This window comes from Homo sapiens, chromosome 4 (genome assembly GCF_000001405.40).
Source record: "Homo sapiens chromosome 4, GRCh38.p14 Primary Assembly".
In the NCBI taxonomy this organism is placed as follows: Eukaryota; Metazoa; Chordata; class Mammalia; order Primates; family Hominidae; genus Homo; species Homo sapiens.
The window spans coordinates 139,323,020-139,337,418 of record NC_000004.12 but is presented as its reverse complement, the minus strand read 5'-3'; the positions used below and the strand labels follow the sequence as shown (position 1 = coordinate 139,337,418).

Sequence of the window (14,399 nt, the reverse complement as noted above, 5' to 3'; positions counted from 1 at the left end):
ATGGGTTTTGAACCTAAGTGAGGCACACTCTAAGCCTATACTCCAAAAGCTTGTGCTCTAAACCAGGGTATTATAATGCCGCTCTAATATTCCTTATTTTATATCCTTTTTCTTTTTGAGACCCACCACCTACCACTATCACATTGGTGATTAGTTTTCAACAAATGGGGTAGCGGAGTGCCACACAAATATTCAGACCCTAGCAATGCCCCCTTTTTAAGAGTGAGAAAAGCTTTCACAGATATTTTTAAAGGCAAGTTCCATTTATCTGTGAAATAAGAGAATGTTAAAACATGGTTAGGTATATAAAAATGTTCCCTGAATGAAGGCAGTTGCTGTTACCCTATTTAAAAAATAATTTCCTCTGTAATAGCACAATAAGAGAGATCTAAAACTTTGACTCTCAAATTGCTGCCTTAGCTCAAAACACCCCACTCAAACCTTAAATATATCTCAAAAAGGATACACACATGACTCTTCAAGTCATTTCTCAAACCTCTACGAACCAATTCATAAGCTTCTTCCTTTTTCCCCAAACAGTTCAATGTTAATCCTTTCATAGCCAAGGTTTCTATTTTCAAAAACAAAGAAGAAAAGGAACATTTTAAAAAAATAAATATTAAAAATAAATAACAACAGAACCATAATCTCAAAAACAAATGCTACACTGCCTTAAGAATTAAAAATGTCAAGGAGATTACTAAGATACTTTCCACTTTCTTGCAGATTTAAAACATTTTTAAAATTGGCAATCCAAGTAAACACAGATTTCCAGACTCTATTATTGGAAAGAGACTCTCCTTTTTTTTAAGATAAAAGATACAAAATGCATGCTATTTGACTAGAAAGATAATCTAGTAATTCATTCTTCAGGGGAATTCCATGGGATAACCTTACATATCTACTTCATTAAAATATAAAAACTTTATCTTGAAAATATACTTTATTTCTGTGAACCTAGGTTATATACGGGTTAAACTCATCAGTGATTTAAAAAATACACATAAATTTCCTACATTTTTTATTTTCCTAAATTTATTTTAAAATGATTATTTGAGATTACTATTAAATATACAAGAAAAAGATGTCAGAAATCTATCATTGGCAACCAAAAGATTAAAAGAGAGTTAAAAGAAATATTAAGTTTTCAGAAGAGGAAAACTAAACTCTAATTTTATATGTATCCTATGAAGCCTAAAGGAAGTGAAAACATTATTTGCCTAACTTTTTAATTTATTTGATTGATTTCTCTTTTAGACTAAAATTTAGACTTTAGAGAGAAATTAATTAGGCACAAAAGATAAGGATTAAAGATATAATCCTGAGGAAGAATCAACATGTACCGTTTAAAAATACTTTTGGCCAGGCACAGTGCCTCACACCTGTAATCTCAAGACTTCAGGAGGCCAAGGTGGGCAGATCACTTGAGGTCAGGAGTTCCAGATCAGCCTGGCCAACATGGTGAACCCCCGTCTCTACTAAAAATACAAAAATAGCCAGGTGTGGTGGGGGGCACCTGTAATGCCAGCTAGTTGGGAGGCTGAGGCACAAGAATTGCTTGAACCCAGGAGGCAGAGGTTGCAGTGAGCCAAAATTGCCCCATTGCACTCCAGCCTGGGCAACAGAGTGAGACTCCGTCTCAAAAAAAAAAAAAACTTTCAATGAAATTATGACAATTTATATGCAACCTGAATTCAGGTATGTTACAGTGGCAGGGCAGGGAGTTGGAGAATCACATTTTAGAAACAGTGAAATAGGCTGGGCGCAGTGGCTCACTGTAATTCCAGCACTTTGGGAGGCCGAGGTGGGTGGATCACCTGAGGTCAGGAGTTTGAGACCAGCCTGGCCAACATGGTGAGACCTCATCTCTACTAAAAATACAAAAATTAGCCTGGCATGGTGGCACACGCCTGTAATCCCAGCTACTTGGGAGGCTGAGGTAGGGGAGTCGCTTGAACCCAGGAGGTGGAAGCTGTAGTGAGCTGAGATTGCGCCACTGCACTCCAGCCTGGACAACACAATGAAACTCTATCTCAAAAAACAAGAAGAAAAAACAGTGAAATGATGTAGGGAAAACTGCATTTCAGAAATAATGAAATCTGATACTTTTCTGTATTGAACACATTATGAGTATGCCTACTTTAGAAATGAATATCAAACAACATAAAGCTCAGCTGGTCAGCAAAAATAATTTTTAATATGGAAAAAGAGAGATAAATTTATTTCTATTTACTTGTTTTTTTAAATATATGTTTTGTCATAATAAAGACAAGGTCCCGCTATGTTGCCCAGGCTGATCTTGAATTTCTGGCCTCAAGCAATCCTCCTGCCTCAGTCTCCCAAAGGGTTGGGATCATTAGGAGTGAGCCCCAGCACCCAGCAGAGAGATAAATTTAAATACTTTTATCTCCATTGTTTTCCATCTCCAAACAATTACAGTAAAAGAAAGTATAAAGTGAAACACAGTGAAAGAAAGTGAGATTATAAAGATAGGCCAAAAAAAAGGCAAGGAATCTAATGGAGAATTACTACTCTCCCCCTTCTCTTCAATACTAAGAGTGCATTATCAATAGTTACTGAACAGCCACGTTTCTTAACTGTACAAATCAGACCTGCCAAAACTTATTTTTCCTTTGCCTCCTCTCAAGTTTAGCCACACACTCTCCCCTTGCTCTACAAATATCTCACCATCCAATAATCTACCTTCACACAAGCAAAAGCCTATAAACTTTCAGAACATTACAATATACAAATCATGTCTTAAACATGACTTGGTCTTGAGAAACTGAAAAACATAAATAAAAAATATGATAGTTTATGAGCAAAGGACCAAATGGTCACTTTCTGAATAAGATTATAAAGCATACAATTTATACAGCTCAACCAAAGTTCTAAAGTAAATTTTAGCATTCTATCCTATTATTTCTCTTTTCCTACAGAGGTAATATTCAAACTAAGAATAAATCAGAACTCAAGTAAAATGTGTTATCATTTTCTTGATATTAAATTCAAAATTCAGTATTAAATTTCACTTTCTCACAGAAGTCAAAGATGAGAGGGTCTGTTCTCTCTGGAAAACAGTTAAGGCAGCTGGGAAGAATACAATCCAGTAAGAGAGGCCAGACAGGTATGTAGTAAAGCTTTATCTACTTGCACTTACCTCCATGCTCTGCAAATTTGGGATTAGAAAGTATTTGTTTACAGAATTTCAATCCATTTCTATACTGTTTATGTTCATAACACCTCTGTCAAAACAAAAAAGAAAAATTTAAGTTTAGCAAGGAATACAAACAACTTTAAATTCAACGCTAAATTTCTCTACTCTGTTAAATACAACAGAATGCTATTTCCATATGCTTCTAAATCTCGGTAAAATGCCAATAAAAAATACAAAAGGTTCAAATACAGGAAGTAAAAGACAAAGGAACAAAATATAGATTAGTAAAGTCCAACAACTGAGTGATGCAGAAAGAGAACAGAAAAATAAATGGTATAGAATTTCTTTTATTTATTTTTTTTTAAGACTGAGACTCACTCTGTCACCCAGGCAGGGCACAGTGGCGTGATGACAGCTCACAGCGACCATATCCACCTGGGCCCAAGGAATACTTCTATCTCAGCCTCCCAAGTAGCTGGGACTACAGGCACACGCCACCATACCTGGCTAATATTTTTATTTTTTGTAGAGACAGGGACTCACTATGTTGCCTAGGCTGGTCTCAGACTCCAAGATTCTCAAGCGATCTCAGGACTCACTCAAGCAATCCTCCCACCTCGGCCTCCCCAGGGGCTGGGATAACAGGCATGAGCCACTATGCCCAGCTAGTTTTCTAAAGAACATTTTCTTTTTACTGAAGAACGTTTTCTTTTTACTGAAGCTTTCAAGCTGAAAGGGCCAAAAAAAGTCCATGCAAAATACACGGAAAAAATACCCAGACTGTAACATATCATAGTGAAATCTCAAAGCCTGAAAATAAAAAAAAAAGGTCCTTAAAAACTTCCAGAGAGGGGAAAAAAACAAGTCACATAAAAAAGATCTATAATCAGAATAGCAATGCACTCTTATTTGAAAGTAAAAATGAAATACTGTTGAAATCTAGAAGACAAATATACGGCCTTCAAAAGTCAGAGTGAAAATTAAGTTTCAACTTATAATTCTGTACCAGCTGAGTCATCAATCAAGTACAGTCAGGCCCCATATCCATGGGTTCTACATGCGTAGATTCTGCTAACTACAGATAGAAAGTATTAGGAAAAAAAAAAACTGCATCTATACAAACTTACACTTTTCTCTTGTAATTAATGTCTAAGCAATACAGTATAACAACTATTTACACAGTATTTACATTGTATTAGGTATTATAAATAACCTAGAGATAATTTACAGTATACAAGAGGATGTGCATAGGTTATATGCAAATACTATGCCATTGTATATCAAGGACTTGAGCATCCCTGGATTTTGGTACCCAAGGGAGATCCTGGAACCAATCTCGCAAAATGTCATTTTGCTCCCATACATTAAGACTATATAAGAGGCCAGGCACGGTGGCTCATGCTTGTAATCCCAGCACTTTGGTAGGCCAAGGTGGGTGGATCATCTGAGGTCAGCAGTTCGAGACCAGCCTGGCCAACATGGTGAAACCCTGTCTCCACTAAAAATACAAAAATTAGCCAGGCCTGCTGGCGCCACCTGTAATCCCAGCTACTCAGGAGACTGAGGCAGGAGAATCATTTGAACCCAGCAGGCAGAGGTTGCAGTGAGCAGAGATCGCACCACCACACTCCAGCCTGGGCAACAGAGTGAGACTCCGTCTCAAAAAAAAAAAAAAAAAAAAAAAAAAAACATACAAACCAAAATACCAAGACTGTATAAGAGCAAAAAGACATTTTAAAGCTTTGCAAAAAGCTAAACTTTTGTGTCCATGTATTCTTCCTTAGGAAGCCATTAAAAGAAATTAGGATAAATTTTTTAAAAGGCACTATCGAGGGCCAGGCGTGGTGGCTCACATCTGTAATCCCAGCACTTTTGGAGGCCGAGGCGGGCAGATCACGAGGTCAGAAGTTCGAGACCAGCCAGGCCAACATGGTGAAACCCCGTTTCTACTAAAAATACAAAAATTAGCTGGGCATGGTGGCGGGCGCCTGTAATCCTAGCTGCTTGGGAAGCTGAGGCAGGAGAATCGTTTGAACCCGAGAGGCAGAGGTTGTAGTGAGCCGAGATTGCGCTACTGCACTCCAGCCTGGATGACAGTGTGAGACTGTATCTCAAAAACAAAAGCACTATAGGACTTAGTAAATAAGGAATATAATACAGAAAAAAGAACTAGAGAACAGCCACTCCAGAGTGGAGCAGAGTCAAAAGCTACTATGGAATAGGTTTCCAGCAAGAGCAAAAATCGAACTAGTGTGCTTGCTAACATGGAAAATGTTAATCATAAGCTCATGACAGAAATACAGGCACATTTGCAGGAAACGAGCAATAGGTCTACAGAAAACCAGTCAACTGCCTAAATAATAGGTATTAACTCCAGAAAAAACAAAAGCTTGTATAAGACTTGGATTTAGTACAAATTTGGCTCAATACTGAACAATATATGCATAGTTATAAAAATGTAAACATTCTGTACTAGTTTATAAAAAACCTGTGATATGGCCGGGCATGATAGCTCATGCTTGTAATCCCAGCACTTTGGGAGGCTGAGGTGAGCGGATCACTTAAGGTCAAGAGTTCGAGACCAGCCTGACCAACGTGGTGAAACTCTTTCTCTACTAAAAATACAAAAAAAAAAAAAAAAAAATTAGCCGGGCATGATGGCATGCAGGCGCCTGTAATCCCAGCTACTTGGGAGGCTGAGGCAGGAGAATCACTGGAAGCTGGGAGGCGGAGGCTGCAGTGAGCCAAGATGATGCCACTGCACTACAGCCTGGGCAACAGGGCCAGACTCTGTCTCAAAAAAAAAAAAGAAAGAAAGAAGAAAAAAAAACTTGTGATATAATTATGTTGAGGAATGAGGAAGATGAAAGTGGGCAAATGTGTGAATGAGTAAGTTCTGAGTCCTCATTTTCACAAACCAGAGGTCAACAAATATTTAAAAGCTATGTATCAAGAAGAAATAGTGATGTATTACTAAGCAACAAGAAGGCAAATACCAGACAAAATAAAGGGCTGAAGTTGCTTGATTCTGGAGGGGGAAAGCAAGGGGATGGGAGAAAATAGGGAACATTATTTCTTTCATCATAAATCTTTTAGTGCTAGCTGACTTTTAGACATCAACATATGCTTTCACATGAAAATTTATTTTTAAAGCATTGTATTTGTTACAGAAAAAAAAAGTGCTCTAAAAGATACAATTCGTGCCAGAATACATTGATATAAATTTTAAACAATTTTGCTCATAATTTTTGAGGCAATATATTTAAAATCTGGGAAAGAAGTTAATGCAAGTGATGACAAAAATCATGGTAGAAAATGTGTAGAAACAGAAAAATAAAAATGTAAAATTTCACATTTTAGCATGAAGAAATCAATTAAGTTCACACTACAGCAAACTAGAGTTGCTTTACAACCAACTATATACCCATCATCTCCACTTTGTTGTTGCTTTGAGACAGGATCTCACTCTGTGGCCCAGACTGGAGTACAGTGTCTCAATCACAGGCTCCAGCAATCCTCCTGCCTCAGCCTTCCAATGCTGTTGTTTTGCATCTGAAACCTAATATATCCAAATACAACTGATTTTTCTCGCCCAAAATGTATTCTGCACCAAGTCTTCACCATCCTGAAGATAGAGTTGATTCCCCCTCTTCAACTCAACCAGACGATTATGCAAAAAAAACCAATCATCTTTGGTGCTTCTCCTTCCCTTATACTTCTGTCCTCTGGTAGGTCCTATCAGACCCGGTTTCTTGGCAATAGCTTCCTAACTGGTTGAATATTTTCTTTGTCTCCCACAATCAACTATGCATTCAGCAGGCACAGTGATTTCAGGGATAAGAGGAGGAGAAAGCAGAAGCAGTTACTTGAGAGCTATCATTCATCATATGTAGCCAAAGAAACATAGTAAGACTAAGTAACTAAATTTAGTGTTCCCATTTACTTAGCAGAAAGCCTAAAAGTAGCTTGTTTTTCTTATAATAAGAAAGCACTAAAGGAAGCTATGATGTAAAGACTAACATAATTAAAAGGAATATTCTTGATTTCTTGCTGTTTATGAAAATTCATACCTATAAGGAAGAGGGTTAAGTGTCACTGTTCATAAAACCTTCAGCTTTCTGAAATTTTACATGTATAAAAATGTAGTTAGGTGACTTTCACTTTTGGCATGATGGAGTAGGTGAAGCTGAACTTTTTCTTTCATCATAAAGAAAACTGGACAAAATATATGAAATAACAGGTTCAACAGGTGGTGCTAACAGGTGGCGCAAGACTGTGAACCATGAGAACGGGAAACAAACATGATGAGCTCTAGTAATGCCACCACTTTACTCCTGGAGGCACTTCCTAGCTCACAGCACAGGAAGAAGGATCCCAAGCAAACTACAGGAGTCCACAGAGTTAACAAAGACTGATGTTCAACGAGGCTGAGGCACTCTGCAAGAGATGAAACCACCCTGAGAAAGAGATCCAAAAATCCACAGAAGATCCCCATGTGTCTGTTGTTGAAAACTGTTGAGTACTAAGTTTTGCATATGTAGGGTGAAACATAACAAGGCCAGACAAAGAATGATGAGGACGCATTAAGTTTAACAATTCTCACAGCCCACATGGTAGTAAGAGTTCCAACTTGCCAGAATGGAGTGTCAACGAACAGCTGTAGAATTCAGTAAATACTGCAAAAAGGTCATTCCTTAAGAGTAGACATACACTAGCCCTAGAGTATTACTTTAGACCCACCCTAACAAACCCTCAAAAAAAATCAGGTTGACAGACAAGCATCTTCACTGTGCACCACAACAAAGTCCAACACCACTCTTTAAAGACAGTTAAATTTAGTAAAATAATATAAAACCTATAATGTATAACATCCAATAGAAAATATCTAGACACCTAAGAGCAGGAAAACATGATCCATAACCAGGAGAAATTAAAAACGTGATGGAATTACGATAAAGAAGTTAAAACAACTATTATAAATGTGCTCAAAATTTAAGCAATGGATAAACAAATGAAGAGGAAAATGAAATATATTCGAAAAAAACAAATAGAATTTGTAAAGATGAAAATACAGTATTAAGGCTGGGCACAGTGGCTCATGCCTGTAATCTCAGCACTTTGGAAAGCCAAGATGGGCAGATCACTTGAGACCAGGAGTTTGAGACCAGCCTAGCCAACATGGCAAAACCTTGTCTCTACTAAAAATACAAAAAAAAAAAAAAAAATTAGCCAGGCATGGTGGCGCACACCTATAATCCCAGCTACTTGGGAGGCTGAGGCAGGATAATTGCTTGAACCTGGGAGGTGGAGGTTTCAGTGAGTTGAGTCAAGATCATACCACTGCACTCCAGCCTGGACAACAGAGCAAGACTCTGTCTGAGGAAAAAAAAAAAGAAGGCCGGGCACAGTGGCTCACGCCTGCAATCCCAACACGCTGGGAGGCAGAGGCAAGCGGATCACGAGATCAAGAGATTGAGACCATCCTGGCCAACATGGTGAAACCCCATCTCTACTAATATTACAAAAATTAGCTGGGTGTGGTGGCACGTGCCTGTAGTCCCAGCTACTCGGGAGGCTGAGGCAGGAGAATCACTTGAACCCGGGGGGTGGAGGTTACAGTGAGCCGAGATCACGCCACTGCACTCCAGCCTGGCGACAGAGTGAGACTCCATCTCAAAAAAAAAAAAAGAAAAGAAAGAAAAAGAAAAAGAAAAGGAAAAGGAAAAAAGAAAATACAGAATTTAACATGAAACCAGCCAGGTGTGGTGGCTCACGCCTGTAATCCCAGCACTTTGGAAGGCCACAGCAGGCAGATCACTTGAGGTGAGGAGTTCAAAACCAGTCTGGACAACATGGTGAAACCTCCGTCTCTACTGAAAATACAAAAGTTAGCCAGGCGTGGTGGCGGACACCTGTAATCCCAGCTACTTGGGAGGCTGAAGCAGGAGAACTGCTTGAACCTGGGAGGTGGAGATTGAAGTTAGCCAAGATCGTGCCACTGCACTCCAGCATGGGCAACAGAGCGAGACTCCATCTGAAAAAACTAATAAAATAAAATTTTAATTTCAATTTTTTTAAAATGGAACCTTTCCCAGATAAGAGTAAAGCAGATTTTATGACACTTCAGAAGAAGAAAAAAAAAATCAGTGGGCTAGAAGACAGACATAGCAACAGAAACCACCTCAATGAAAGAGAGAGAAAAGATAATGTAGAAAAATATAATTAGTGGAACTACAGTGACCTTTCTTCATAATAAAAAACATCTAAAAACACTGCAGATCTAAATGTGTAAGTTAAAATGAAAAAGCTTCTAGAACACCTGTAATCCTGGAACTTTGGGAGGCTGAGACGGGTGGATCACCTGAGGTCAGGAGTTCAAGACCAGCCTGGCCAACATGGCAAAACCCTGTCTCTACTAAAAATACAAAATTAGCGGGGTGTGGTGGTGCATGCCTGTAATGCTAGCTACTAGGGAGGCAGAGGCAGGAGAATCGCTTAAATCCGGGAGGCAGAGGTTACAGTGAGCTGAGATTGTGCCACTGCACTCCAGCCTGGGCAACAGAGTGAGACTCTGTCTCAAACAAAACAAAACAAAACGAAAACAAATACACATACTATCTGATCCAATCCTTCCAACCTAGGTGTACACACAGAAACGTATATTCACCATAAGATAGGAAAAAGAATGAGAATAAGATTTACTGGTCAGGCTGGGCGCAGTGGCTCACGCCTGTAATTCCAGCACTTTGGGAGGCCAAGGTGGGCAGATCACCTAAGGTCAAGAGTTCGAGACCAACCTGGCCAACATGGTGAAACCCCGTTTCTACTAAAAAATATTTTAAAAATTAGCTGGGCGTGGCAGCGCACGCCTGTAGTCCCAGCTACTTGGGAGGCTGAGGCATGAGAATCACTTGAACCCGGGAAACGGAGGTTGTGGTGAGCAGAAATTGCACCACTGTACTCCAGCCTGGGTGACAGAGCGAGACTCTGTCTCAAACAAACAAATAAACAAACAAAGATTTACTGGCCTGGCACGGTGGCTCATGTCTATAATTGCAACACTTTGGAAGGCCAAGGTAGGAGGATTGCTTGAGCCCAGGAGTTCAAGACCAGCCTGCATAACATAGTGAGACCTTGTCTCTACAAAAAAATCAAAAAATTAGCCAGGCATGGTGGTGTGTGCCTTTAGGCCCAACTACTCAGGAGGCTGAGGCAGGAGGATTCCTTGAGCCTAGGAGGTTGAGGCTGCAGTGAACTATGGTCACACCACTGCACCCCAGCCTGGGCAAGACACAGAGAGACTCTGTTTCAAAAAAAGGAAAAAATATTTATTAGTAACTGGTTAAAAAAAATTAAAACGACAAAAAGGACACCCAAAATTAATGACATACCTAAACTAAAAGTACTAACTTATAGTCTCTTTTAACTAAATAAGACTAAGTAAAAATTTATTTTAATTGACTTTGTATTAATGGCCTTTATGCCAAAGGCTTAAATTACCAAAACTAATACAGTAAATATGATATAAAAGGAAATCTAGGCCTCATCTGTTAAAAGTATAGAATTGATAAAGTATCATCACTGTGTAATAATCCTAGCATTACATTCCAAGGTAATTTTTATATAACAGAAACACTATGAACGGAAAAATTTACTTTGAGGAATTAACGAAGTAGTGAAAAGGGCCACCTTTGGAATCAAAGGCTCTGGTTTCAAACAGTGACTCTATACTTTAATTCTATAATCTTATGTAGTACTTTGCTGAGTATCAAAAAGAATCCTTAAATCATGGAGAGCAATCATGAGAAAAAGACATGTAAAACACTTAACAATAATAACAGCTAATATTTAATGAGCATTTACTGAGTCCCAGGCACTGTGCTAAGTGCTTTACAGGGAAAATTTATTTAATCTTAATGATATGAAGCAGGTAGTCTTACTATCTTCATTTTACACGAGATAACTGAGGTCCAGGAGGTTATATAATTTGGCCAAGGTCACACTGCTATTAAGTGATGGAAAAAGAATCTGAACCCAGACAATCCAGATACAGAACCATAACACCTAACCATTGTAACTACTTCCCTAACCTAGTGCCTAAAACATTTTACAAAAAAACATAAAACTGCTAACACAAGTAATGGCCATTGTAGAAAGCTTTAAAAAAATGAAAAAAGAAAATCAACCCATAATCTCATTGCAGACACAACTGCTATTAAACATTCTGATTTTAACAAGAAAGTTTTCATCCAAAACTTATGGAATAGTTTACTATTCTACAATACTTATGTGAACCTATACAAATATAATTCAAACTAGCATATAAAAACAGACAACGGCTGGGCATGGTGGCTCACACCTGTAATCCCAATACTTTGGGAGGCTGAGGTGAGAGGATCGCTTGAGGCAGGAGTTTGAGACCCACTGTCTCTACAAAAAAATTAAAAATTAGCTGGGCATGGTGGCATGCCTGTACTCCCTGCTACTCATGAACCTGAGATGGGAGGACGGCTTGAGCCCAGGAGTCCAAGGCTGCAGTGAGCCGTGATGGTAACACTGCACTCCAACCTGAGCGACAGAACAAAACACTGTCTCTTAAAAAATAAATAAAATTGATATTCTTACTTGACATGCACAATGTAACTTTATTTTACATAGCTGATTTTTAAAATATTCAGGATTCCAATTGGTATTTTTGGTGGTGTGACTGGAAACACCTTTATTTGTTTATCGTATGTTTTTCAAAGAGACTCCTCGGTAACATTTAATCAGCATGATAATCCCATAAGCACAAAAGGTTTAATCCTTATTGTAGAGGTAAAATTTAGAAAACAAGTAACTTACCCCAGATTACATACCTAACTAGTGGCAAAATTTAAGACTATAATTTAGGCTCTCTGACTCCTGGTTAAAAGCTCTTTCCATCACCTACAGAAATTTTATTAAATGTTAAAGGTTATTAAACCCAAAATTTTTATCTTTTAAAAGATCTTCTAATCAACAAATTCAACTGTTACATTGCTTACCCAGTCTTATAATCAAATGGACAATAAAAATGCCCAAAATAAAGTGAGAAGTGAACATACAAAATTAAACTAGATAATCCCCTCCAAATAACTGACAGGAAAATTAAAAACTAAACCCCCCGCCCCTTGAATGAGATATGTTTACATTACAGCAGTTAGCTTTTTACTTCATCATACTTAGAACAGTAACTGAGTTTTAGATCCTAATGATTATGTTCTCAATTAATGAAATTCAGCTATGTCCTTATTGAAATTATATTCAATGCCATTAATTCAATTATCTCCTGTCAATGTGAGCTGTAAAAATAATTCAGAATGGCAGGCCCCTCCAAATAACTACTACTAATTCATTTCTCCTCAACAAGAACCAACGTGCATTTAAGTAAATAGATCTCAATTTTTTTCACGAAATGCACTACTTCTATAATAGGTCACTTATTACAAAGGAGAATAGAAAGGAAAAAGTAACAAAAAATATCCAATTTGGATGTTGGCCAGGCTGGTCTTGAACTCCAACCTCTGGTGATCCCCCTGCCTCGGCCTCCTGAAGTGCTGGGATTACAGGCGTGAGCCACTGCGCCCGGCCCTAAACTAACTTTTTAGGGAACTTACTTTGCTTTTATTTACGGAAAGTGAAATGCAAAATACTACATATGGTATACTTTCAACATATGTTTTACATTCAATTCACTTAAAACAGGTTTTATAAAGTGACACAGTAGACAGACATTTTCAGTTCTCCACAGAAGAATCATTGCATTAAACAGAAATACAGGTCTACATTCCCTCATCTGAAACTCTTGTGTTTGGGGAGTTCTTGAAATTTCAAAACTGTGAATAAGGATTTCCCTTGCTATGGAAGAAATGCCAGAGTATCTATTTGTCCTCCTACCTGTAACACCTGCATATGTTAGTTCAAAATCTAACATAATACTTTCAAAAATACTAGAAGAATAATGCAGGCTATTGTTTTTCAACAGGAATTAACATTTAAAATTTTAACACTCTGCTATAGAAACAATGAAGCAAAGAAGCAAACCAGGATATAATTAAAACAAACTGGGCTGGACTCATGCCTGTAACTGCAGCACTTTGGGAGGTGGAGGTGGGCAGATTGCTTGAGCAGGAGTTCCAGACAACCCTGGGAAACATGGTGAAACCCTGTCTCTACAAAAAATACAAAAATTAGCTGGGCCTGGTGGTACATACCTGTAGTCTCAGCTACTGGGGAGGCTGAGGTGGGAGGATTGCATGAATCTGGGAGGACAAGGCTGCTGCACTATAGCCTGGGCAACAGCAAGACTTGCCTCAAAAAACAAGAGACTGAATTGTTCTAATAGATAATAAAGTCGCATGTGCTAAATTCTGGCACCATACACTCTGAGACTTCTGCTCCCAAATGTATAAGAATAACTGACACTAGATGAGGTTCCTGCCAACTATAAAACTGGAAAGTAAACATAAAATAGCTGTTTTCAGCTGTTGGACAAAAGCCAATACAGGACTACCGTTTCAGAAGAGAAGCAGGGTAAATCCCAAGAAAAATCCCTATTTGTCTCTAGAAGCATCTTCCAGACTGCAGAATAGGTGTAAGAGGTGTAGGGGTGTGGGTGGGGGACCTAAACAGAGCTTAGCAGTCTCACTGACCTGAGTAGATATGAGAATTAGAAACTGCTGGAATTTATGGGGCAGGGTGCTACAGAGAACTATATATAGAAGAGGCTTCAGAAATCTGCCACAGGAGTTGGACACGGTGGCTCACGCCTGTAATCCCAGCACTTTGGGAGGCTGAGGAGGGCAGATCACTTGAGGTCAGGAGTTCAAAACCAGTCTGGCCAACATGGCAAAACCCCGTCTCTACTAAAAATACAAAAATTAGCCAGACATAGTGGCACATGCCTGTAATCCTAGACCTTTGGGAGGCCAAGGCCAAGGTGCATCACCTGAGGTCAGGAGTTCGAGACCAGCCTGGCCAACATAGTGAAACCACATCTCTACTAAAAATACAACAATTAGCTGGGCATGGTGGCAGGCGCCTGTAATTCCAGCTCCTCAGGAGGCTGAGGCAGGAGAATCGCTTGAACCCAGGAGCTGGAGGTGACAGTGAGCCAAGATCATACCACTGCACTCCAGCCTGGGTGACAAGAGCAAAACTCTATCTCAAAAAAAAAAAAAAAAAAAAGAAAAGAAAAGAAAAAGAAATCTGCCACAGGAAT

General features: G+C 38.8%; 1 protein-coding gene across 2 annotated transcripts in view; it reads right to left on the bottom strand.

Annotated features, from left to right (window-relative positions):
* The window catches only part of NAA15 (N-alpha-acetyltransferase 15, NatA auxiliary subunit), an 89,880-nt gene that overhangs the window by 53,966 nt on the left and 21,515 nt on the right, over nt 1–14,399 (bottom strand). For both annotated transcript variants that reach the window (NM_057175.5, NM_001410842.1), the window contains exons 2-3: nt 3,161–3,245; nt 467–571 (exon numbers count right to left, since the gene is read on the bottom strand). In NM_057175.5, coding sequence (NP_476516.1) covers nt 467–571; nt 3,161–3,245 — 190 coding nt within the window. The remainder of the gene's footprint in view (nt 1–466; nt 572–3,160; nt 3,246–14,399) is intronic.